Source organism: Homo sapiens, chromosome 11 (assembly GCF_000001405.40).
Source record: "Homo sapiens chromosome 11, GRCh38.p14 Primary Assembly".
Lineage (NCBI taxonomy): Eukaryota > Metazoa > Chordata > Mammalia > Primates > Hominidae > Homo > Homo sapiens.
The window spans coordinates 108,943,496-108,965,894 of NC_000011.10; positions in this window are offsets into that span (position 1 = coordinate 108,943,496).

A 22,399-nucleotide genomic window follows, 5' to 3' on the forward strand; every position below is an offset into this window, starting at 1 on the left:
ACGAGATGAAGAAAAAGCCCCGGATGACATTGTTTGAGCTCCTGGGCTTCACCTGAATGTATTTCGTGGACTTCACAGTTGTGTCATGAATAAGTACATTTCTTTTTTGCATAAAATATTTTATGTTGTATTTCTGTCCCTGGAACTGAATGGATCCTAACATATGTGTCTGAGGGACTTTTACTTTGCCAATTTTGAAAACTAGTTAAAGCATCAGAATAGCACTGGTAGAAAACTCATGCAACAATGCATGATGGATTGTATTTTGCACAGCAAATACTCACTCCAGCCCCCTCCCTCCCTCGGGAAACATTCTTAATAGCTCACCAATATTGGGCTTGGTCGTGTGACCTGCTTTTAGTCCATAGAACACAGCAGAAGTGACTGTGGGCTTGTCACATGCAGAGCTCTGAAGCTGCATTGATGTTTCCATCAGTCCTGCCTTATACCTTCAGATCAGCATGAACCGGAGAGAAGACACTCCTCGGTCTGGGCCCAAGGTGAGAAGGCAGGTGAAGCAGACTTACAGCCACCTCTCAAACCTGCAGAACAAGAAATCCACTGAGACTTGGGGGTTTATTACAGTAAAGCCTGACTAATACACGAGGTGGGAGAAACACATTACCAGTGAGCAAGAGCAGTCATTCATTCGACAAATGTTAATAAATTCAGCAACTCCCATATACCAGGCCCTGTGCTTCTGAGAGATACAGTTCCCTCCCTTGCTACTGTGTAGTGGGGGGAAAGAGAGAAGCAATTTCATAATTTGAGTGCACCTTGAAAAGAGCAGACGGAAAGAGGAAGATTGTTTGAGTGAGGGAATTCTTGCTGGAATGCAGGAAGGAGGGAGGACATAGGTAGTTGCTTGGTCTAGGACCCAGACAATATTTCTTGTTTGATGCTTAATGAAGGCTAAGGGGCCATTCATCAGACTCATGTAAAATGATCCCTAAAATTACATAAGTCTCTGATGGATTCACCCAGCGGCAGAACCCTTTGGAGGACTGCCATCTCATAAGCTTAACGTGGCATTTTAGATTTGTTTGGGGCTGTAAAAAATTGTTAAGTTTAATTAAATGTAATTAATTTTGTTACACAACATTTGAAATATGCTGAACATGAAAAGTCACCTCAACTGCCAGAGGCTGCAGGTGTTCGTAGGAAGTGGGGGGAAGGAGGGAGGATGGGAGGTGGTGGTGTAGGTGAAGGGGAAAGAGTCTGCAACCCAGATTTCAAACCCTGTTTCATGTCTTTTAAGACCACTTTAACTAGACATGTAATCACAGTGTGATTTTCTTCCACAGCCCCTGCTGATCCGACAGCCCAGGGCAGACGTGTTTTATACCATATTACCTAGTGCCCGCTGACTCTGAAATTCTAACCCATTAGCCTGTGAGGGAGGCTGGTGCTTTCAAAAGCTCTGCCCAAACAGGGATGAATTGAGTGAATAACTTTTTTACTCTATGAAACTGAAATTAAGGTAGTGAGCAAAATTGGAAGGTTATGAGACAGACCAGGGAGCACATGATAGGCAAAAAGAGCTCAAATTAGAAGTTAGTTAAAACTATAGGTGAAAAAGAACTGGCAAAAAGACAAGAGTAAGTAGTGAGGGACCCCACTGGTCATAGGACCAGAAGCAATGCACAGAGTAGTGAATCCTGGTCAGGGCTGTCTGGGGAAGACTCCCAGATCCAAGCTGACCCCCTGGTTCTTGTCTCCATGAGGCTTCACCTTTTCATGGGTCTTCTTGGATTCCTGTATAAGTTTGTCTCCTCTGCCTGAGGCGTAAGACCCCGTTGTCCTGCCTGAGCTAGGCTTAGTGAGTCTTTGGGTTTTTTGTACCCTAAAGAGCTTCAGTAAAACTCAGAATACTCCAATGCAGTGCTTCTTAGATTTTAGTGTGTATAGGAATCACCAGACTTAGCAGGTGTGTTTGTGAACCACCCTGTGTTGCTGACTTCTCTAGGAAGCACTTCCTTTGGTCTCCAGGCCATACCCCACATCGTTGTGATGGGGCTTTCACTGAAGCAAGCCTCATGGCCAGCACCAGCAATCTGTTCTTTCTCAATGTGATTGATGATCTTTATCACTGGAATGCTGAAAGTCTTCCAGTGCTCCTCCTTGGAGAGCCTATCTGTGACGTTAGATGTTTTCTCTAGCACAAAGAGTCCTTGGAGCATTTCTGAGTGTCACACCTTCAGGTTGCAGCGGGAAGATGGATGCTGGCAGCTCTCCCATCTCTTTTAAAGTGTTTTAATTAAATTCTTGTTCCTGTCACTCCATGGAAACAGCTCTTGTCAACTCACTACCAGCTTCCATCTTGCTAGATCCAAAAACAGTTCTTGGGGCTCATCCTAATCAACCTTCCAGTAAAAGTGATGTTCCTACCTTCTCGAAATGCTTTTTCACTTAGCTTTCAGAGAACTAACTCTCTCTCTCTCTGTCTCTCTCTCTGTCCTTACTGACTACTACTTTTCACTCTCCTTTTCTGATTGCTCCTCACGTTCTTGACTTCTAAACATTAGGGGCCTTCGGGTTGGTGCAGAAGTAATTGCAGTTTCAGACCATGAATGTTACATCATTATAACTAGGATCAAACACATCTTTATTAATCAAAATAGGAACAATTACAGTCAACGTATTTTTGCCAGTGAGAAATAAGTTTGTTTTTTCCTATAGCATAAAAATCCGTGCTTAAGGCTTCAATGAACTTTTCGAAAGCATTTTCTGCATCCTGCTGGTTGTGAAAAGGTTTTCCCTGCAAAAAGCTTTGATATGCTTGAAGAAGTGGTAGTCGGTTGGTGAGACGTCAGGTGAATGTGGCGGATGAGGCAAAACTTTGTAGCCCAATTCGTTCAAGTTTTGAAGCGTTGGTTGTGCAATGTGCTGTCTGGTGTTGTGGAGAATTGGGCCCTTTCTGTTGACCAATGCCGGCTGCCAGCATTGCAGTTTTTGGTGTATCTCATCAATTTGTTGAGCATACTTACTTCTCAGATGTAATGATTTTGCCGGGATTCAGAAAGCTGTAGTGGATCAGACTGGCAGCAGACCACCAAATGGTCACCAGGACCTTTTTTGGTGCAAGTTTGGCTTTGGGAAGTGCTTTAGAGCTTCTTCTCCATCCAGCCACTGAGCTGGTTGTCACCGGTTGTCATATAAAATCCACTTTTTGTCGCATGTCACAATCTGATTGAGAAATGGTTTATTGTTGGTGTGTAGAATAAGAGAAGATGCGATTTTTTTTTTTTAAATTTAGAATGGTCAGTGTTGAGCTTTTAATTTGGAATGATCAGTGTTGAGTTCTTCGGCAACTTCTCATGTAAGAGGATCAGCTTCGATGATTGCTCTCAATGGGTCATTGTCAACTTCCGATGGCTGGCCACTATGCTCCTCATCTTCAAGGCTCTCATCTGCTTTGTAAAACTTCTTGAACCACCATTGCACGGTATGTTTGTTAGCAGTTCCTGGGCCAAACGCGTTGTTGTTGTTGCAAGTTGTCTCCACTCCTTTATGACCCATTTTGAATTAGAATAAGAAAATCACTCGCATTTGCCTTTTGTCTATCATCATTTCCATAGTCTAAAATAAACATAAACAGCAAGACATAAGTCCTTAGCAAAAAAAAAAGCAAGAAATGCCCATTAAAATGATGTATAACATAACCACATTTATTTCAATAGCAAACGGCAAATTCCAACAATGCAAAAGCCACAATTCCTTTTGCACCAACCTCATACATTCCCTCCCTGAGTGATCTCATCTAGTCTCATGGCATAAAATTGCATCTATACACTGATTACTCTCAAACTTCCGTCTGTAGATCAACATCTTTGCTTTCCAGACTCATATTCAACTATATTCAATATCTCTACCTGGATGTTTAGTGGGCATCTCATACTTAATATGTCCCAAAATGAAGTCCTAATTTCACCCCCCAATCTTCCCCTCCTTTTTCTTTTCCATCTCAGTAAATATCTCCATTGTTTTGGGGAACAAATGGACTCCTTTTTCTTTTCCATCTCAGTAAATTTCATCTCCATTGTTTTGGTTTGTCAGGCCAAAAACTTGAAGACATTCTTGACTTGTCTCTTCCATCTTCCATCCAATTTATTAGCAAATCCTGCCAGTTCTTCTTTTGAAATATATTCAAAAGCCAACTTTTGGACACCATTTCCATGACAGTTTCTACTCTGTTCCATGCCATGATTCCCTTCTTTTGCAATAACCTCTTAACTGGTCTTCCTGCTTCTACCCTTTCCCTCACACAGCAGTCAGAATTATCCTTTTAAATCATAAACTGGATCGTGTGATGACTCTGCTAAAAACGAATGGCTTCTTATCTCACTTCAAACACAGTAGTCCCTCTTTATCTGCAGTTTTGCTTTCCAAGGTTTTGCTTACCTGCAGTCAACTGTGGTCTGAAAATATTAAATGGAAAATTTCAGAAATAAGAAATTCAGAAGTTTTAAATGTGTACCATTTTGAGTAGTGTGATGAAATCTAGCCCCTTCCTGCCCCATCCTGTCTGTGATGTGAATCATTCCTTGTCTAGCGGATCCTCACTTACTGCACTATTCACCCATTAGTCACCCATCTCGGTTATCAAATCTACTGTCAAGATACCACAGTACTTGTGTTCAAGTCACCTTATTTTACTGTATAATGGCCCCAGAGCAGAAGAGTTGTGATGCTGGCAATTCAGATATGCCAAAGAGAAGCCACCTTTAAGTGAAAAAGTGAAAGCTCTTGTCTTAATAAGGAAGGAGAAAAAAACAGTATGCTAAGTTTGCTAAGATGTACAGTAACACTGAGTCTTCTATCTGTGAAACCGTGAAGAAGGAAAAAGAAATGTGTGCTAGTTTTGGTGTCACACTTCAAACCACACAAGTTACAGCCAAAGTGTGTAATATGCGCTTAGTTAAGATGGAAAGGCGTTAAACTTATGGGTGGAGGACATGAACAGACATGTCCTCCAATTGACAGCAATTGAGTTCATTACTATCTGTGGTTTCAGGCATCCACTGGGGGTCTTGGAACATATACACCTATGGATATGTGGGGACTATTGTAAAATCGAGTGCCTTTTCCATAGCCTACAAGGCCATATATTTTGTTCTAACTCTAACCTCATCTACTACTTTTTTTACACCATTTTAGTTACACTGGACTCTGCTGTTTCTTTTTTGTTTGTTTTTTGTTGTTGTTCTTTTCTTTTTTTTTTTGGGAGACAGAGTCCACTCTCGTTGCCCAGGCTGGAGTGCAATTGCGCAATCTTAGCTCACTGCAACCTCTGCCTCCCAGGTTCAAGCAATCCTCCTGCCTCAGCCTCCCAAGTAGCTGGGATTACAGGCATCCACCACGACACCCAGCTAATTTGTGTGTGTGTGTGTGTGTGTGTGTGTGTGTGTGTGTGTGTGTGTTTATTATACTTTAAGTTCTGGGGTACATGTGCAGGATGTGCAAGTTTGTTACATAGGTATACACGTGCCATGGTGGTTTGCTGCACCCATCAACCCATCATCTACATTAGGTATTTCTCCTAATGCTACCCCTCCCCTAGTCCCCAACCCCCCAACAGGTCCCGGTGTGTGTTGTTCCCCTCCCTGTGTCCATGTGTTCTCATTGTTCAACTCCCACTTATGAGTGAGAACATGCATTGTTTGGTTTTCTGTTCCTGTTTTAGTTTGCTGAGAATGATGGTTTCCAGCTTCATCCATGTCACTGCAAAGAAATGAACTCATCCTTTTTATGGCTGCATAGTATTCCATGGTGTATATGTGCCACATTTTCTTTATCCAGTCTATCACTGATGGGCATTTGGGTTGGTTCCAAGTCTTTGCTATTGTGAACAGTGCCCCAAAAAACATATGTGTGCATGTGTCTTTATAGTAGAATGATTTATAATCCTGTGGATATATACCCAGTAACCAGATTTCTGGGTCAAATGGTATTTCTGGTTCTACATCTTTGAGGAATTGCCACAGTGTCTTCCACAGTGGTTGAACTAATTTACACTCCCACTAACAGTGTAAAAGCATTCCTATTTTTCCACATCCTCTCCAGCATCTGTTGTTTCCTGACCTTTTAATGATCACCATTTGAAATGGGGTGAGTTGGTATCTCATTGTGGTTTTGATTTGCATTTCTCTAATGACCAGTGATGATGAACTTGTTTTCCTTATGTTTGTTGGCTACATAAATGTCTCCTTTTGAGAAGTGTCTGTTCATATCCTTTGCCCACTTTTTGATGGGATTGTTTTTTTCTTGTAAATTTGTTTAAGTTCTTTGTAGATTCTGGATATTAGCCCTTTGTCAGATGGAGAGATTGCAAAATTTTTCTCCCATTCTGTAGGTTGCCTGTTCATGATAGTTTCTTTTGCTGTGCAGAAGCTCTTTAGTTTAAATAGATCCCATTTGTGTCAATTTTGGCTTTTGTTGCCATTGCTTTTGGAGTTTTAGTCATGAAGTCTTTGCCCATGCCTATGTCCTGAATGGCATTGCCTAGGTTTTCTTCTAGGGTTTTTATTGTTTTAGGTCTTATGCTTAAGTCTTTAATCCATCTTGAGTTAATTTTTGTATAAGGTGTAAGGAAGGGGTCCAGTTTCAGTTTTCTGCATATGGCTAGACAGTTTTCCCAACACCATTTATTAAATAGGGAATCCTTTCCTCATTGCTTTTGTCAGGTCTGTCAAAGATCAGATGGTTGTAGATGTGTGGTGTTATTTCTGAGGCCTCTGTTCTGTTCCATTGGTCTATATATCTGTTTTGGTGCCAGTACCATTCTGTTTTGGTTACTTGTATTTGGCCTTGTATTATAGTTTGAAGTCAGGTAGCGTGATGTCTCCAGCTTTGTTCTTCTTGCTTAGGATTGTCTTGGCTATACAGGCTTTTTTTGGTTCCATATGAAAGTTAAAGTAGTTTTTTCCAATTCTGTGAAGAAAGTCAATGCTAGCTTGATGGGGGTGGCATTGAATCTATAAATTACCTTGGGCAGTATGGCCATTTTCACGATATTGATTCTTCCTATCCATGAGCATGGAATGTTTTTCCATTTGTTTGTGTCCTCTCTTATTTCCTTGAGCAGTAGTTTGTAGTTCTCCTTGAAGAGGTCCTTCACATCCCTTGTAAGTTGTATTCCTAGGTATTTTATTCTCTTTGTAGCAATTGTGAATAGGAGTTCACTCATGATTTGGCTGTTTGTCTATTACTGGTGTATTACTGGTGTCACAAGGAATGCTTGTTATGTTTGCACATTGATTTTGTATCCTGAGACTTTGCTGAAGTTGCTTATCAGCTTAAGGAGATTTTGGACTGAGACGATGGGGTTTTCTAAATATACAATCATGTCATCTGCAGAGACAATTTGACTTCCTCTCTTGCTATGTGAATACCTTTATTTCTTTCTCTTGCCTGATTGCCCCAGCCAGAACTTCCAATACTGTGTTGAATAGGAGTGGTGAGAGAGGGCATCTTTGTCTTGTGCCAGTTTTCAAAGGGAATGCCTCCAGTTTTTGCCCATTCAGTATGATATTGGTTGTGGGTTTGTCATAAATAGCTCTTATTATTTCGAGATACGTTCTATCAATATCCAGTTTATTGAGAGTTTTTAGCATGCAGGGCTGTTGAATTTTGTCGAAGCCTTTTCTGCATCTGTTGAGACAATCATGTGGTTTTTGTCATTGGTTCTGTTTATGTGATTAATTACGTTTATTAATTTGCATACGTTGAAACTTGGATCCCAGAGATGAAGCCGGCTTAATCATGGTGGATAAGCTTTTTGTATTTTTAGTAGAGATGGGGTTTCACCATGTTAGCCAGGCTGGTCTTGAACTCCTGACCTCAGGTAATCCACCCACCTCAGTCTCCCAAAGTGCCAGGATTACAGGTGTGAGCCACTGTGCCCATCCATGTGATTCTGCCATTTTTTCTGCCTGAAGTTCTTGACTCTCAGATGGCCTGAATGGCTCAAGTGTCACTTTATAAGATGCCTTCTCTGACCAGTCAGTGGAAAATAGCACCCTCTAAACCACCCAGGCATACGCCATCCTAAATGAGTACTTACCACTTACCACCGTCTGACATTGTTTTTGTCCATCTCCATGGTACTCTCCTCTCCTACCCCTGCCAAACAAGCTCCTTGATTGAGGCTTTCACTATGTGATGTGCCTGCTTCCACTTTGCCTTCTGCCATGATTGGAAGCTTCCTGAGGCCTCCCCAGAAGCAGATGCTGCTAACCTTCCTGTACATCCTGCAGAACCATAAGCCTATAAAACCCCTTTCCTTATAAATTATCCAGTCAGGCATTTCTATAATTATTGTTGTTATTTAGAGACAGAGTTTTGCCATGTTGCTCAGGCTGGTCTCAAACTCCTGGGCTTAAGCGATTCTCCAACCTTGGCCTCTCAAAGCGTTGGGATTATAGGCATGAGCCACCACACCTGGACAGGTATTGCTTTATAGCAATGCAAAACAGCCTAATACAGTTACTTATCATTGAATGTCTACAGATAACCATTGTTAGTATTTTAGTGTATTTTCTTCCCTATATATGAAAGAATTTATGAGATTATACTATTTTGTAAATTACATTTTTCTCTAAATATTTGGTAGACATTAAATATCTTTTTACAACACGATTTTCAATGACATACTAAAATTTCATTGAATACAACCTAGAAGCAATAAGCACACCTAGTGCCCAGATCTTGGTTTCTCCAAACAAAGGAAAAAATTGGAGAAATGGCTGATTCTAGAACTGTGGGAAGAAATATACAAGATGAGGCTGGGCATGGTGGCTCATGCCTGTAATCCCAGCACTTTGGGAGGCTGTGGTGGGAGGAAGGTTTGAGGCCAGGAGTTAGAGACCAGCCTGAGCGACCTAATGAAGTCTCATCTTTATAAAAACTTTTTAAAAATTAGCCAGGTGTGGTGGTGCACACCTGTAGTCCCAGCTACTCAGGAAACAGAGGTGGGAGGATTGCTTCAGCCCAGGAGTTCAAGGTTAACAGTGAGCTATGATCGTGCCACTGCTGCAATCCAACCTGGACAACAGAGCAAGACCCTGTCTCTAAAAAATGGAAAGAAAAGAAATATACAAGATGAGCCTGGAGCATCTTGTAGTGCCAGAAAGTAAGAAAGTGTGAAACACACACAAAACTCACAGTGTGAGAATATGCCAAGGAGTACAGGAGCCAAGTGAAAAAGCTCCCAGTGGCTAAAGATGAAAGAATTTGAGCAACAAAATAAAGTAGTATTGACTTATAACCCAACATGCAAAATAAGTATTCATGAGTCCATGCTGATATAAATGATTGAATACATAAATAATTGTGGGAGTAGAGACAAGTCTCTTGTGCAGGAGAATTCACAATAATTCATGTAGTTGTCCTGTCCTTAAGGGGATGAAACATAAACTCCCACTCCTAAAGCGTGGGCTGTGCATAGTGACTTTCCTCCAAAGAGTACAGCATGAAAAGAGCAAAAAAGAGAGTAAATTTACAGTGGAAACACCTGAAAAACAGTAACTCTGCCAAGTGATCAAAGTCAACATCAACAGTGATAAGTGGTGTTGATAGTGTGTATCTTTGATATGAGGTGATAAGAATGGCACTTTAGGCCGGGTACGGTGGCTCACACCTGTAATCCCAGCACTTTGGGAGGCCGAGGTGGGTGGATCACGAGGTGAGGAGATCGAGACCATCCTGGCTAACACAGTGAAACCCCGTCTCTACTAAAAATACAAAAAATTAGCCAGGCATGGTGGCCCATGCCTGTAGTCCCAGCTACTAGGGAGGCTGTGGCAGGAGAATGGCGTGAACCCGGGAGGCTGAGCTTGCAGCGAGCCTGGATTGCACCACTGCACTCCAGCCTGGCGACGGAGTGAGACTCCATCTCAAAAAAAAAAAAAAAAAAGAAAAAAAGAAAAGAATGGCTCCTTACTTCTGTGGTCTTTCTCCCAGAATACATAACCCCAGTTCAATCACGAGAAAAACATCAGACAAATCCAAGTGGAGAGACATTCTACAAAATACCTGACTGGTACTTTTCCAAACTCTCAAGATCATTGAAAACAAGGAAAATCTGAGAAATGGTCAAGTCAAGAGGAGTTTAGGGGACAAATAAGACATTTGGTAAAAAGTAAGAAAATCTGAATAAAGTATGCAGTTTAGTTAATCAAAATTTATCAGTATTGGTTCATTAATTGTGCCAAATATACCATACTAGTGTAAGATGTGAATAATAGGGGAACTGGGTGTGGGTATACGGAAACTCTCTATGCTGGCTTCACAGTGATTCTGTGAATCTAAAGTGTTCTAAAATAAAAGGTTTATTCAGAAAATGACATGCAACAGAAGCATCATATTTTATTTAATCTCTTATGATTGAACATTTAAGTGGTTTCTAAATTTTTGCTATTGAATACATTTATGATGAATGTCCTTACAATCAAATCTTTGCACACATCCCTATTACTTCCTTCAGAATACATTTGTAGAAGGGAAATTGTGGGATAATAGATGTGCGTATTATAACAGTATTAAAGATTTTGATGCAAGATACCTAATGAGGCCCCCTCAGTTAAAGAATAAGTTAACTCTAAATTACAGTCAAGATGAAGGTTTAGAAAAGACTCTTGGATACTTTTTGCATCCAAGCCAGTCACATCAAATGCCACGAGGAATTATTTTCAACACCCTGAGAAAACCACTTACCGACGGGGAGCCTGTGTTCAGGGGTATGTCTTGCATTGGGCGTCTACTGCTCTTACAAGAGATAAATCAGAAGACTTCACTTCCTCATGCTGTGACCATCCCAGTATAAGAAAATAAAAACAAAAAGGGGAATGCAGATCTCCAAAGACCTAGAAGACGTGCACAGAGCCCTCCTGCATTTTATTAGGCAATCAGACTAAGAATACTATAGATCCGTGGCTCTTGTAGTGCGGTCCTCAGAACCAGCAGCATCAGTGTCACCTGGAAACTTGTTAGAAACGTGAATTCTTGGGTTCTACCCTAGGTAGACTGAGTCAGAAACTCTGGAGTTAAGGCCCAGATATTTGTGGGGTTTTTTTTTTTTGAGAAGTAGATATACTTTTTAATGCATTTTGGCAGGTTTATTGATATGTAATTCACATACCATACAATTAACTCATTTAAAGTGTACAGTTTAATGGTTTTTAGTGTATTCACAGATTTATGCAATTATCAACACAATCATTTTAAAACATTTTCATTACCTCATAAGGAAACCCTGTACTCTTTAGGTATCCCCTCTGCTCCCATCATGTTCCCTAGCCCTAGCAGTCACGAACGTATGTTCTGTCTCTGTGGATTTGCCTATTCTGGACATTTTGTATAAATAGAAAAATACCTGCACAGCAAAAGAAACTATCATCAGAGTGAACAGGCAACCTACAGAATGGAAGAAAATTTTTGCAATCTATCCATCTGACAAAAGTCTAATATCTAGAATCTACAAGGAACTTAAACAAATTTAGACCAAAAAAAAAAAAAAAACCAACCCCATCAAAAAGAGGGTGAAAGATATGAACAGATACTTCTCAAAAGAAGACATTTATGCGGCCAAGAAACATGAAAAAAAGCTCATCATCCTGGTCATTAAAGAAATGTAAGTCAAAACCACAATGAGATACCATTTCATTCCAATTAGAATGGCGATCACTAAAAAGTTAGGAAACAACAGATACTGGTGAGGCTGTGGAGAAATAGGAATGCTTTTACACTGTTGGTGGGAGTGTAAATTAGTTCAACCATTGTGGAAGACAGTGTGGCGATTCCTCAAGGATCTAGAACCAGAAATACCATTTGATCCAGCAATCCCATTACTGGGTATACACCCAAAGGATTATAAATCATTCTACTATAAAGACACATGCACATATATGTTTATTGCAGCACTGTTTACAATAGCAAAGACTTGGAACCAACCCAAATGCCCATCAATGATAGACTGGATAAAAAAACTGTGACACATATACACCATGGAATATTATGCAGCCATAAAAAGGTTGAGTTCATGTCCTTTGCAGTGATATGGATGAAGCTGGAAACCATCATTCTAAGCAAACTAACACAGGAACAGAAAACCAAACACTGCATGTTCTCATTCATAAGTGGGAATTCAACAATGAATACATGGACACAGGGAGGGGAACATCATACCTCGGGGCCTGTTGGGAGTTGGGGGGCAAGGAGAGGGATAGCATTAGGACAAATAGCTAATGCATATGGGGCTTAAAACCTAGATGAAGGGTTGATAGGTGCAGCAACCCCCCATGGCACATGTATACCTATGTAACAAACCTGCACATTGTGCACACGTATCCCAGAACTTAAAGTAAAATAAAATAAATCAATAAGAAAATCTAGAGGAAATTGGTAAATTTCCTTTTCACACAACCTCCCAAGATTGAACCAGGAAGAAATAGAAAAAAAAAGAAAAGAAAAGAAAACTACAATATAGACCTGTTGTGTCTGGCTTCTTTCACTGAGCATAATGTTTTCAAGGCTCATTCATGTTACAGGAGGTATTCGCACTTCATTCCTTTTTATGGCCAAATCATATTCCATAATGTGGATATACCACACTTTGCTTACATATTCATGAGTTGGTGGACACTTGGGTTTTTTCTACCTTTTGGCTGTTAGGAATTGTCTTAGTCCATTTTCTGTTGCTTTTATCAGAATACCCGAAACTGGGTAATTTATAAAGAAAAGGAATTTATTTATTTCTTACAGTTATGGAGGCAGAGAAGTCTAAGGTTGGGGTTGGGGGGTGCATCTGGTGAGAGCCTTCTTGTGCTTGGGGATACTTTGAAGAGTCCTGAGACAGTGCAGGGTATCACATGGCAAGGGGGCTGAGCATGCTAACTGCTATCTCAGGTCTTCCTTCCTTTGGTAAAGCCACCAGTGTCCCTTCCTGGATAATCTGTTATTTCATCAACCCATTAATCCATGAATGGATTAACACATTCATAAGGGCAGGGCCTTTATGATTCAATCACCGCTCAAATGCCCCACTTCTCAATACTCCCACCTTGGGGATTAAGTTTCAACATAAATTTTGGAGGGGCATTCAAACCATAGTAGGAATATTGCTGCTATGAACATTTCTGTGCAACATATATTTTCATAATCCTTCAGGAGATTCTAGTGCATGCTACAGTTTAAGAACCATTATTATAGATGGAGTGGTTACAAGAACAAATAGAAGATAGTTCTTTTTAATAAATAGAGATCATCACCTATCCTTTAGGTCATAAGCCAGCATAGAAAAGGAAAAACCTAGGTAGCGAAATCTGATGGTGTGTGGTCCAAGGACAGACATCCTTGTCACTGTAGAGATGTAAGGCAAGGGCCCAGGCATGGTGGCTCACGCCTGTAATTCCAGCACTTTTGGAGGCCGTGGCGAGCAGATCACTGAGGTCGGGAGTTCGAGACCAGCCTGACCAACATAGAGAAACCCTGTCTCAACTAAAAATACAAAAATTAGCTGGGCATGGTGGTGCATGCCTGTAATCCCAGCTACTTGGGAGGCTGAGGCAGGAGAATCGCTTGAACCCAGGAGGTGGAAGTTGTGGTGAGCTGAGATTGCACCATTGCACTTCAGCCTGGGCAACAAGAGTGAAACTCCGTCTCAAAAAAAAAAAAAGAAGAGATGCAAGGCAAGGTTGGGTTGAGGTGATCAAAGGAAAGGAAGCCCTGGTTATAAGGGAAGTGTCCACTTTTTGACCACTAGGCTACCCCTATTAATTTACTGGCATGTCATTGCATTCTTTTTTTTTTTTTTTTAGACAGAGTCTCACTCTGTCACCAGGCTGAAGTGCAGTGGCGCAATCTCAGCTCACTGCAACCTCGGCTCACTGCAAGCTCCGCCTCCCAGGTTCAAGCGATTCTCCTGCCTCATCCTCCCGAGTAGCTGGGACTGCAGGTGTGTGCCACCACACCCAGCTAATTTTTGTAGTTTTAGTAGAGACGGGGTTTCACCATGTTGGCCAGGATGGTCTCGATCTCTTGACCTCGTGATCCACCCGCCTTGGCCTCCCAAAGTGCTGGGATTACAGGCATGAGCCGCCATGCCCGGCGTATGTCATTGCATTCTAAAGGTACTGGGGCTGTTAAGTACTGATGCTTCTCTTTAGAGGAAATGACTCACCAACACCTGCTGTTTCTACAGTTCTTGAAACTGTATAAAGCCTTTTCTACCTGCACTTTCCTTCTACTGTCACAATATCAATATACTCAGCTACAGCTTAGTCTCCCCATTTAACAGATAAGGCCACTGAGGCTTAGTGAGTTTCAATGACCTGCCTGAAGTCATGGAGCAGGGTGTGACAAAAGTGGGAAAACTGGAATCAGAATCACTTCACCCACCCCTAACCTCACCAGAACAGTGTTTTCAATTCTAGCTACACATTAAAATCACTGGAGAGGTTTTAAAAATACTGAAACCCAGGCTCTGTACACAGTGATTCCATTTAACTGGTCTGAGGTGGGGCCTAGGCACTGGTATGTTTTAAAGGTTTTCTTGGTATTTTTTTTTTCCAGTTACTTTCTTTAAAAAATTTTTTTTTAACTTTTCATTTGAAATAATTTCAGACTTCCAAAAAAAGATGTGAAATAGTACAAAGCAGTCCTGTGTATCCTTCCCCCGGTTTTTCCAAATGTTAACATCTTACATAACCACAGCGCAGCTATCAAAGCCAGGATATTAACATTGATACAATACCATTCACTAATCCACAGACCTTATTCAAACGGTATCAATGGAGCTTGGTGGATAGTTCTAAATCATTCTGGAGACCTCATTATTTTTAGTTATTCCATCCCTTTAGTGTACTTGAATCTTTCCTAGGTGATCTTAATGTGCAGCCAGGGCTGAGAACTGCTGGGTGTGGACGGTGGAGCCTGGAGTTAGTATTCTACGAGTAGACTTAATTGGCTTTACGGTGCATTTTTTTCTCCCCGTTCTCTGACATGTAAGAGCTATGTCTGAAAATCTAGTATATTTCTAAGCTATTGTTATGCTGCTGATGGGATGAATCATTTGAAGATTTCTGACTATTTTTATGAAGTGACAGTTATATCTGCTGGGAGGAGAAATGAGCCCTAGTTATATTCATAGCAAGGTTACTGCCACCTAGGTGAAAAATGGAAAATGGTGTATTGGGGAGGGAAGAGTTGAAGAGCTTTCAAATATGAACTCACAAGTCAGTGGGCTAGGTCTTCGCAGAACTCAATGCCATTCTTTGGATGTGAGTCTGGAATACAGTTTAGATTTTAATTAGAGATGTGCTGGACCTTAATGTAAATGTATTTAGATAGGGAAGCCAAAGACACTAAACTGAAAACCTTGCATTTCCTACAGATGGTTTATTAAATTGAAATATGTCTCTTAACCTCTGGTCTTGACCCTGCTGTTGCAAAGATGAGTCATTGAAACATCAGCCTGTCTGTTATCCTGAATGACTGGCTGGAGTGGCCCGGCTGGAGGCACCACTTGGTAACACATGAAACTGGTTAGTTCATGAGGATTTTTACTTTTATTTTCGCCTACAGTCAAACTACCTTTATCCAATTAGAATTTTCACCCTCATCTATTTATTATCTCCTGCTCTGGGTAAAAACAAACCTGAGTGTCTCTGCCGTGTGCAAATTAGCCTGGCTCTGAGGGCCGCAGGGCTGAATAGAAACTATCCTCGAGTGAATAAAAATGTTATTAAATTTAAAACCACAGCCCCCATCACCAGCACTGGATTCCTTTATGCCACAGATGTTGACTGTTTGCAAGTGTTTCCTCTGTGAGGCACTGGCTTGGAAGCATTTGAACCTAATAGCATTATATGTGTGTTTATATCAGAAATCATATGCACAGATACATTGCCAGCCTTCAAATTCATAGAGAAAACAATTGGCTCCCGTGGTGTTAGGTAGCAGCCAGGGCTGTGGCCTTGTGGGTCCCAGCACAGGAGACTCTTTCATAACCCCCTGGGCTTTGGAACATGCTGCTGCCTCTGCCAAGTACACCCTTGTCTCCCACCACCCCTCTTTTCCTGGCTCACTGCTGCCACCTCCTCTTGGAAGCCTTCCTTGATTTCCTCCCCCAACCTGAGTTAGAAGTCTTTTCCATATATTTGCACAATACTCAGTGCTTCTATGTGCTGCAGTAAAAGTAATTGTTTATTTGTCTGATTTCTTCACATGCTAGCACCTAGCCCAGTGCCTGCCACATAGAAAGTGCCTATGATAATGTGTGTGTGTGAATAAATGAATGATAAATGAGAGCTACTGATTCTGCCTAATTACACCAAGCACTATCTGTGTGAAGCCATTTGCACCCATTATCTCCTTTAATCTAGCTAGAATTTAATCCTTTGATTCTGAAGGGATGGTATTTTACCCAATTCTACAGGTAAGGAAACAGGCTGAGAGGGAAGTGACTTCCCCATGACACAGAGCCAGGATTTGAACCTGGCCTAAGTCCACAGCTTGACCTCTTCACCACAGCCTCTTCCTTGCACAGCCTCAGCTGAAGGTCGCTGTGGTTGGTGGAGCAGCCAATGGCTGACCACAGTGGGGACGGAAGGTCTCTGCACAGGGCATGGAGCTGTGGGACTCTGAGAGCTACATTTGCAGGCCTTGGTTCACCTTGGGAGGCGTAATGGTGGAAATGCAGAGTTCCCAGCCATGGGGAGAGGGTGTGCTCTCCTTGATGATGCCATAGACCATGCCCAGCATGTACTGTTTGGTGAAAAAAAAGGATGGCCTGGAAGAGTCCACAAGGACCAGACAGCGATCTGTGCCTTAAACCTCAGAACTGCCTGCAGCCCAGCGTCACTCCCAGTGTGCTGAGGCATCTAGCAGACAGTCTGGCTCCTCAGGAAGGATTTTGAGCCTCAGTTTCTGATGATTTTTTAAGCTTTGGAGCCAGCTCGTTGTCCCAGAGCTCCCATAAGTGCAAGGGCAAATCAGCTCAGTCCCCACCATTCAGAGGGAGCTGTAAGCTGCTTCTCTGCAAAGAAGGCACCAAAGGGATGAGGATGAGGAGGAGGAGGTTCCCAGTTGCCTCCTCAAGAGTGAGAACTCCATGGGAATGAAAACTGCTGCCTGCACAGAAGCCTTGCCACCCAGCTCTTCGGGCGAGTCATGTTCAGTTCTGCCCTCCTCCCAGGCACACACCTCCGGATGTTCTGGAAGACAATGCAGAGACGGGTGAGAGGAGGGATCCCTTTGTGTCTGGAGATTCCCCGTGGGGAGCCTGTGCTTGCTTCCTGGCTTTTCAGATGAGCAGGCACTTCAGTGTGAGGACAGTCCAGGCTCTGTTAAGGTTTCTGAGACTCAGGGTGGAATATCTCACTTGGAGAAGGCTCTTGTCTTTTTAATACCCGTCTCCTTCTACCCCTCTTCTTTCGTGTGCCTCCTACACCTGACAAAGAGAACTCATGTGGGGTGGATCCGGCTTCAGCATGGGCTGTCTGGGTTATTCAAATTTCTCTTCCTCTCCTCCCTGCTAGAATATTAATTCATAGATGGAGGCCTTTCTGGCACCACAAGTATCTTCTAAGTAAGAAGACCCCTCCCACCTCCCTGCCACATGGAAGGGTTGGCCTAATAGGAACCTCTTCTCCCTTATACTTCCTGGCCCCAGCTGACCAGACCACGGTGAGGCCCAGCCTTGAGCCCACAAACTCTGACTTGTTACACAACAGAGAAAAAAATAAACTGGGTCGGTGAGAGTCTCCTGCTCATTGAAACTCAAGGGAGTTTACATTAGGTACTACAGAGTCGCAGCAGTGGAGCTGGGAGTGGTTGTCAGAGCCAGAAGTTTGTGGCATTGAAGAGAGACCAGAGTTGCCACAGCAGGCCACATCTAAGCTGGGATTTGAGGAAGCACTAGCACGCACAGGCTAGAGGTAGACAGAAGCCACAGCTAAGTATTGCATCTCTTCTAAAGCCTCACACTATAAGAATCACATTTTCCCTTTCATTTTTTCCCCTTCTAATCTAAAAATATTACAACTGCTGCCCCCAGTGTAACATCTATGTTCTCCAGGGCCCATGACGGTCCATGATGATCGAGTCTTAACTGTGCCCCCAGCTGAATAAAGTAAACACCTGTCGACATTATTGAAGCAACTGTGAAGATCGGCTGGAAATGGCTCTCTCACTGCAATGCCTGTCTTTGTGATATACCCGTGGGCACACAGGGCAGAAGGAGGCCTGGATGCCTTCTATGTACAGGCAAGGAAATGAAGCCAGCCAGGTGAGCATATATACCACGCTGTCAGTGTCCTGTGGCCCTTCCTCTGGCCACCTCCCAAATAACAGCCATCATAAGATCTTAAGCATGGCTTCTGGGGAGGCTAAGGAACTTGGAGGAAATATTAGGAATCTGTGGGTCCATCATTAAAAAGAGGACTAGGAAAAGAAAGAGGAGAAGATGTCAAGAATAAACTTAACATTCGAAACCGTGATCTCTGGGCTTCAGAATGCTCGCAGCTTAGATCGTTCAAAGAAAAAGCAAGTGCAGAAAATCTTCACGAAGGTATCCTGAATGAAGAAACCCACTAGTTTTATGAGGCATTGGTAGAGTTGTTTTGATTCAACTTTTTGACTTTGGAAAAAAGAAAAGCCAACAAGGGATATTATCAAGGGGCGCCCCTGTGTTTACTTGGACAGACACAATTGCAGCCCTGCCTGATGTGCGGCAAATGCATAGGTATGCTATGTGGTTAAGCTGTTGAAGTACCTTAAGACTTTGCTTCCACTCTGCCATTAAATCTTTGCAGAGATCAGAGAGGAGTCCCCTAAGGAATTTATATTTTGTTTTGATTTATTTTTTTTCTGTGGAGAGAGAGGGTTATTGAGTTCTCAGAAAATGGAAATTAGCCCTGTTCAGAGAGTCTCAAGGAGCTGCCCTTAATAAAAATAGCGGAAATTATGGGTTTTTTTCTTGCCTTACAAATATTTTTTTTTTTGAGACAGAGTCTCACCCTGTCACCCAGGCTGGAGTGCAATGGTGTGATCTCAGTCCACTGCAACCTCCGCCTCCTTGGTTCAAACGATTCTCTTGCCTCAGCCTCCCGAGTAGCTGGAACTACAGGTGCCCGCCACCATGCCCAGCTAATTTTTGTATTTTTAGTAGAGACGGGGGTTTCACCACGTTGGCCAGGCTGACGTCGAACTCCTGACCTCGTGATCCACCCACCTTGGCCTCCCAAAGTGCTGGGATTACAGGCGTGAGCCACCACGCCCAGCCTCAGATCTTTATTCCATATGAGGGACAGTGAGCTGCATTCGTGGAATTGCTGCCTGGACACCTGGGAGGCAAGAGGCTCAGCGCCTGCCCAAGAAGATGGTATGGTTACAAGTGCAGGGAGGGGCATATGAGGCTTGAGGGACTTCTCGTTTGTTTGTTTTCTGTTTTCCCAAATACACAGTACATAGTATAGCAGTCTTTAGAAAACCAACCTGCCTTAAATTGGTTTACTGTTTCTCGAGGACAAGCTGGCAGTTTACATCAAAAGCTGTGAATTATGTGTCTCCATTATATGGCAATTTTACTTTCAGCAATTTATGCTAAGGAAATAATAAAGGATACTGAAGGATCTACATTTTAGAGTTGTTTAGAAGAAAACAAACAAACACACTGGAAATGACACACATTTCCAACAGTTGGAGAGTGGATGAGTCAATTATGGCAGACTCAGTGGAATACTACGCATCCATTAAAAGTTCTGTTGTAAAAAAGGCATAAACAGACACTTCTCAGAAGAAGACATACAAGCGGCCAACAAACATATAAAAAAAATGCTCCACATTCCTAATCATCAGAGAAATGCAAATCAAAACCACATTCAGATACCGTCTCACAGCAGTCAGGATGGCTATTACTAAAAAGTCAAAAAAACAACAGATGCTGGCGAGGCTGCAGAGAAAAGAGAATGCTTATGCACTGTTGCTGGAAAGTAAATTAGTTCAGCTGCCATGGATAGCAGTTTGGAGATTTCTCAAAGAAGTTAAAACAGAGCTACCATTCGACCCAGCCATGTCATTCTTGGATATGTACCCAAAGGAAAAGAAATTATTCTACCAAAAGACACATGCACACCTATGTTCATCACAGCGCTATTCACAATAGCAATGACATGGAATCCTTTGGGCACAGTGGCTCACACCTGTAATCCCAGCTACTCAGGAGGCTGAGACAGGAGAATTGCTTGAACCCGGGAGGTGGAGGTTGCAGTGAACCGAGATCGTGCCACTGTACTCCAGCCTGGGCAACAGAGCAAGACCATGTCTCAAAAAAAAAAAAAAAAAAAAAAGACATGGGATCAACCTACATGTCCATCAACAGTGGATTGGATTAAAAAACATGGTACATATACACCACATAATACTATGCAGCCATAAGGAAGAATGAAAATATGTCCTTTGCAGCAACATGAATACAGCTGGAGGCCGTTATCCTAAGCGAATTAACTCAGGAACAGAAAACCAAATACTGCAAGTCCTCACTTGTAAGTGGGAGCTAAACACTGGGTACTTATGGACATAAAGATGGGAACAATAGAAACTGAGGACCACTAGAAAAGGGAGGGGGCCTGAGGGAGAGGGCTAAAATACTAACTACTGGGTGCTGTGCTTAGTACCTTGGTGATGGGGTCATTTGTACCCTAAACCTCAGCATCACACAGTATATCCCGGTAACAAACCTGCACAGTGTCCCCTGAATCTAAAATAAGAGTTGAAATTATTTAAAAAGGTATATATATATTTTTTTCTCCATATATTTTATTTTCTCCATATATATTTATATTTATATTTTATATAAATATAAAAATATATATTTATATTTTATATAAATATAAAAATATATATTTATATTTTATATAAATATAAAAATATATATTTATATTTTATATAAATATAAAAATATATATTTATATTTTATATAAATATAAAAATATATATTTATATTTTATTTTCTCTATATATGGAGAAAATAAAATATATATATATGGAGAAAATAAAATGAAAATAACAAAAAGTAGATTATTTGAAAGACTTATTTCTATTTTTTTTTAGGTTATTGTAAATCAGAAACAAAGCAAATTTACAAATCAAAGGCCAGGATGAGCATGGGTCTAAGTGAAGGGCAAGACGCCTGGCCTTGGAATGTATTTTAACTCTGGAAAATCCTCTTTGGGACATTCCTTACTTGCCATGACTGCTATCAGGTTTGTTTTAGTCAAAATATTTGTTCATTGTCTCTACTTATCCCAATCCAATAGGACTTCAAAGATTTGAGGGCATTTTTGGTTTTCAATTTTAAAAAGTCACATCTAAAAATAAAAAATTTAAAAATTTATAAATGAAAAATTCTGTTGTAAAAAGATATTTCTTGATATGAAAAGATGTTCACTGGCTGGACCCAGTGGCTCATGCCTGTAATCCCAGCACTTTGGGAGGCTGAGGTGGGTGGATCACGAGGTCAAGAGATCAAGACCATCCTGGCCAACATGGTGAAACCCTGTCTCTACCAAAAATACAAAAATTAGCTGGGCGTGGTGGTGCACGCCTGTAGTCCCAGCTACTCGGGAGGCCGAGGCAGGAGAATCACTTGAACCCTCGAGGTGGAGGTTGCAGTGAGCTGAGATTGCGCCACTGCACTCCAGCCTGAGCAAGAGAGCGAGACTCGGTCTCAAAAAAAAAAAAAAGGCAAAAATGTTCACTATATTCTTACATTAAGAGAGGTCACAAATATAATAATACAGAATGAGCCATTAAATAATTGCATATTTTCATGAGATTATGCCTCATTTTTCTTGCCTGTCTGCATTTTATATCTTCCCTCTGGTATCTACACTGTTTTTTTTTTTCTTTTTAAAAAGGGGCGAAAAGAAAACCAAACTGCTTAGTGATAGTTTGTGAAAAGCAAGAAGTGTTGTGACATTTCTTGGTGCATGCGTGGAAGAACCATGGGATGAATGTGTAGGAAGTGGGGGAGGTGGGGAGTTCCTGGGTTAGAAGAGTTGGACAGAAGGGAGGTCAGCACACGAGTGTGAGCTAAGCTGCTCTTACAAAAAGACCCCAAATACGGTGGGATAAAGAGCAAAGGAGTTTGTCTTGCATGTCTCAGGTAAGCATTCCTGGACCGTGGGCAGTGCTGTCTACTTCCTAGAGGACCAGATTCCTTCCATCTCAAGGCTCTGCCCTTCTCCAGCGCTTTGCCATTCACTGCCTGGATGGCCAAGGCTGAGTCACAGCCACATGTGGAAAGAGAGTATGGAGGGGGTCAGGTCACACGGTTGGAGCTGCAGGCTGCAAGTCGTCCTGGTTGCAACACATCCCACTGGTAAGAGCTTCATCCACGGCC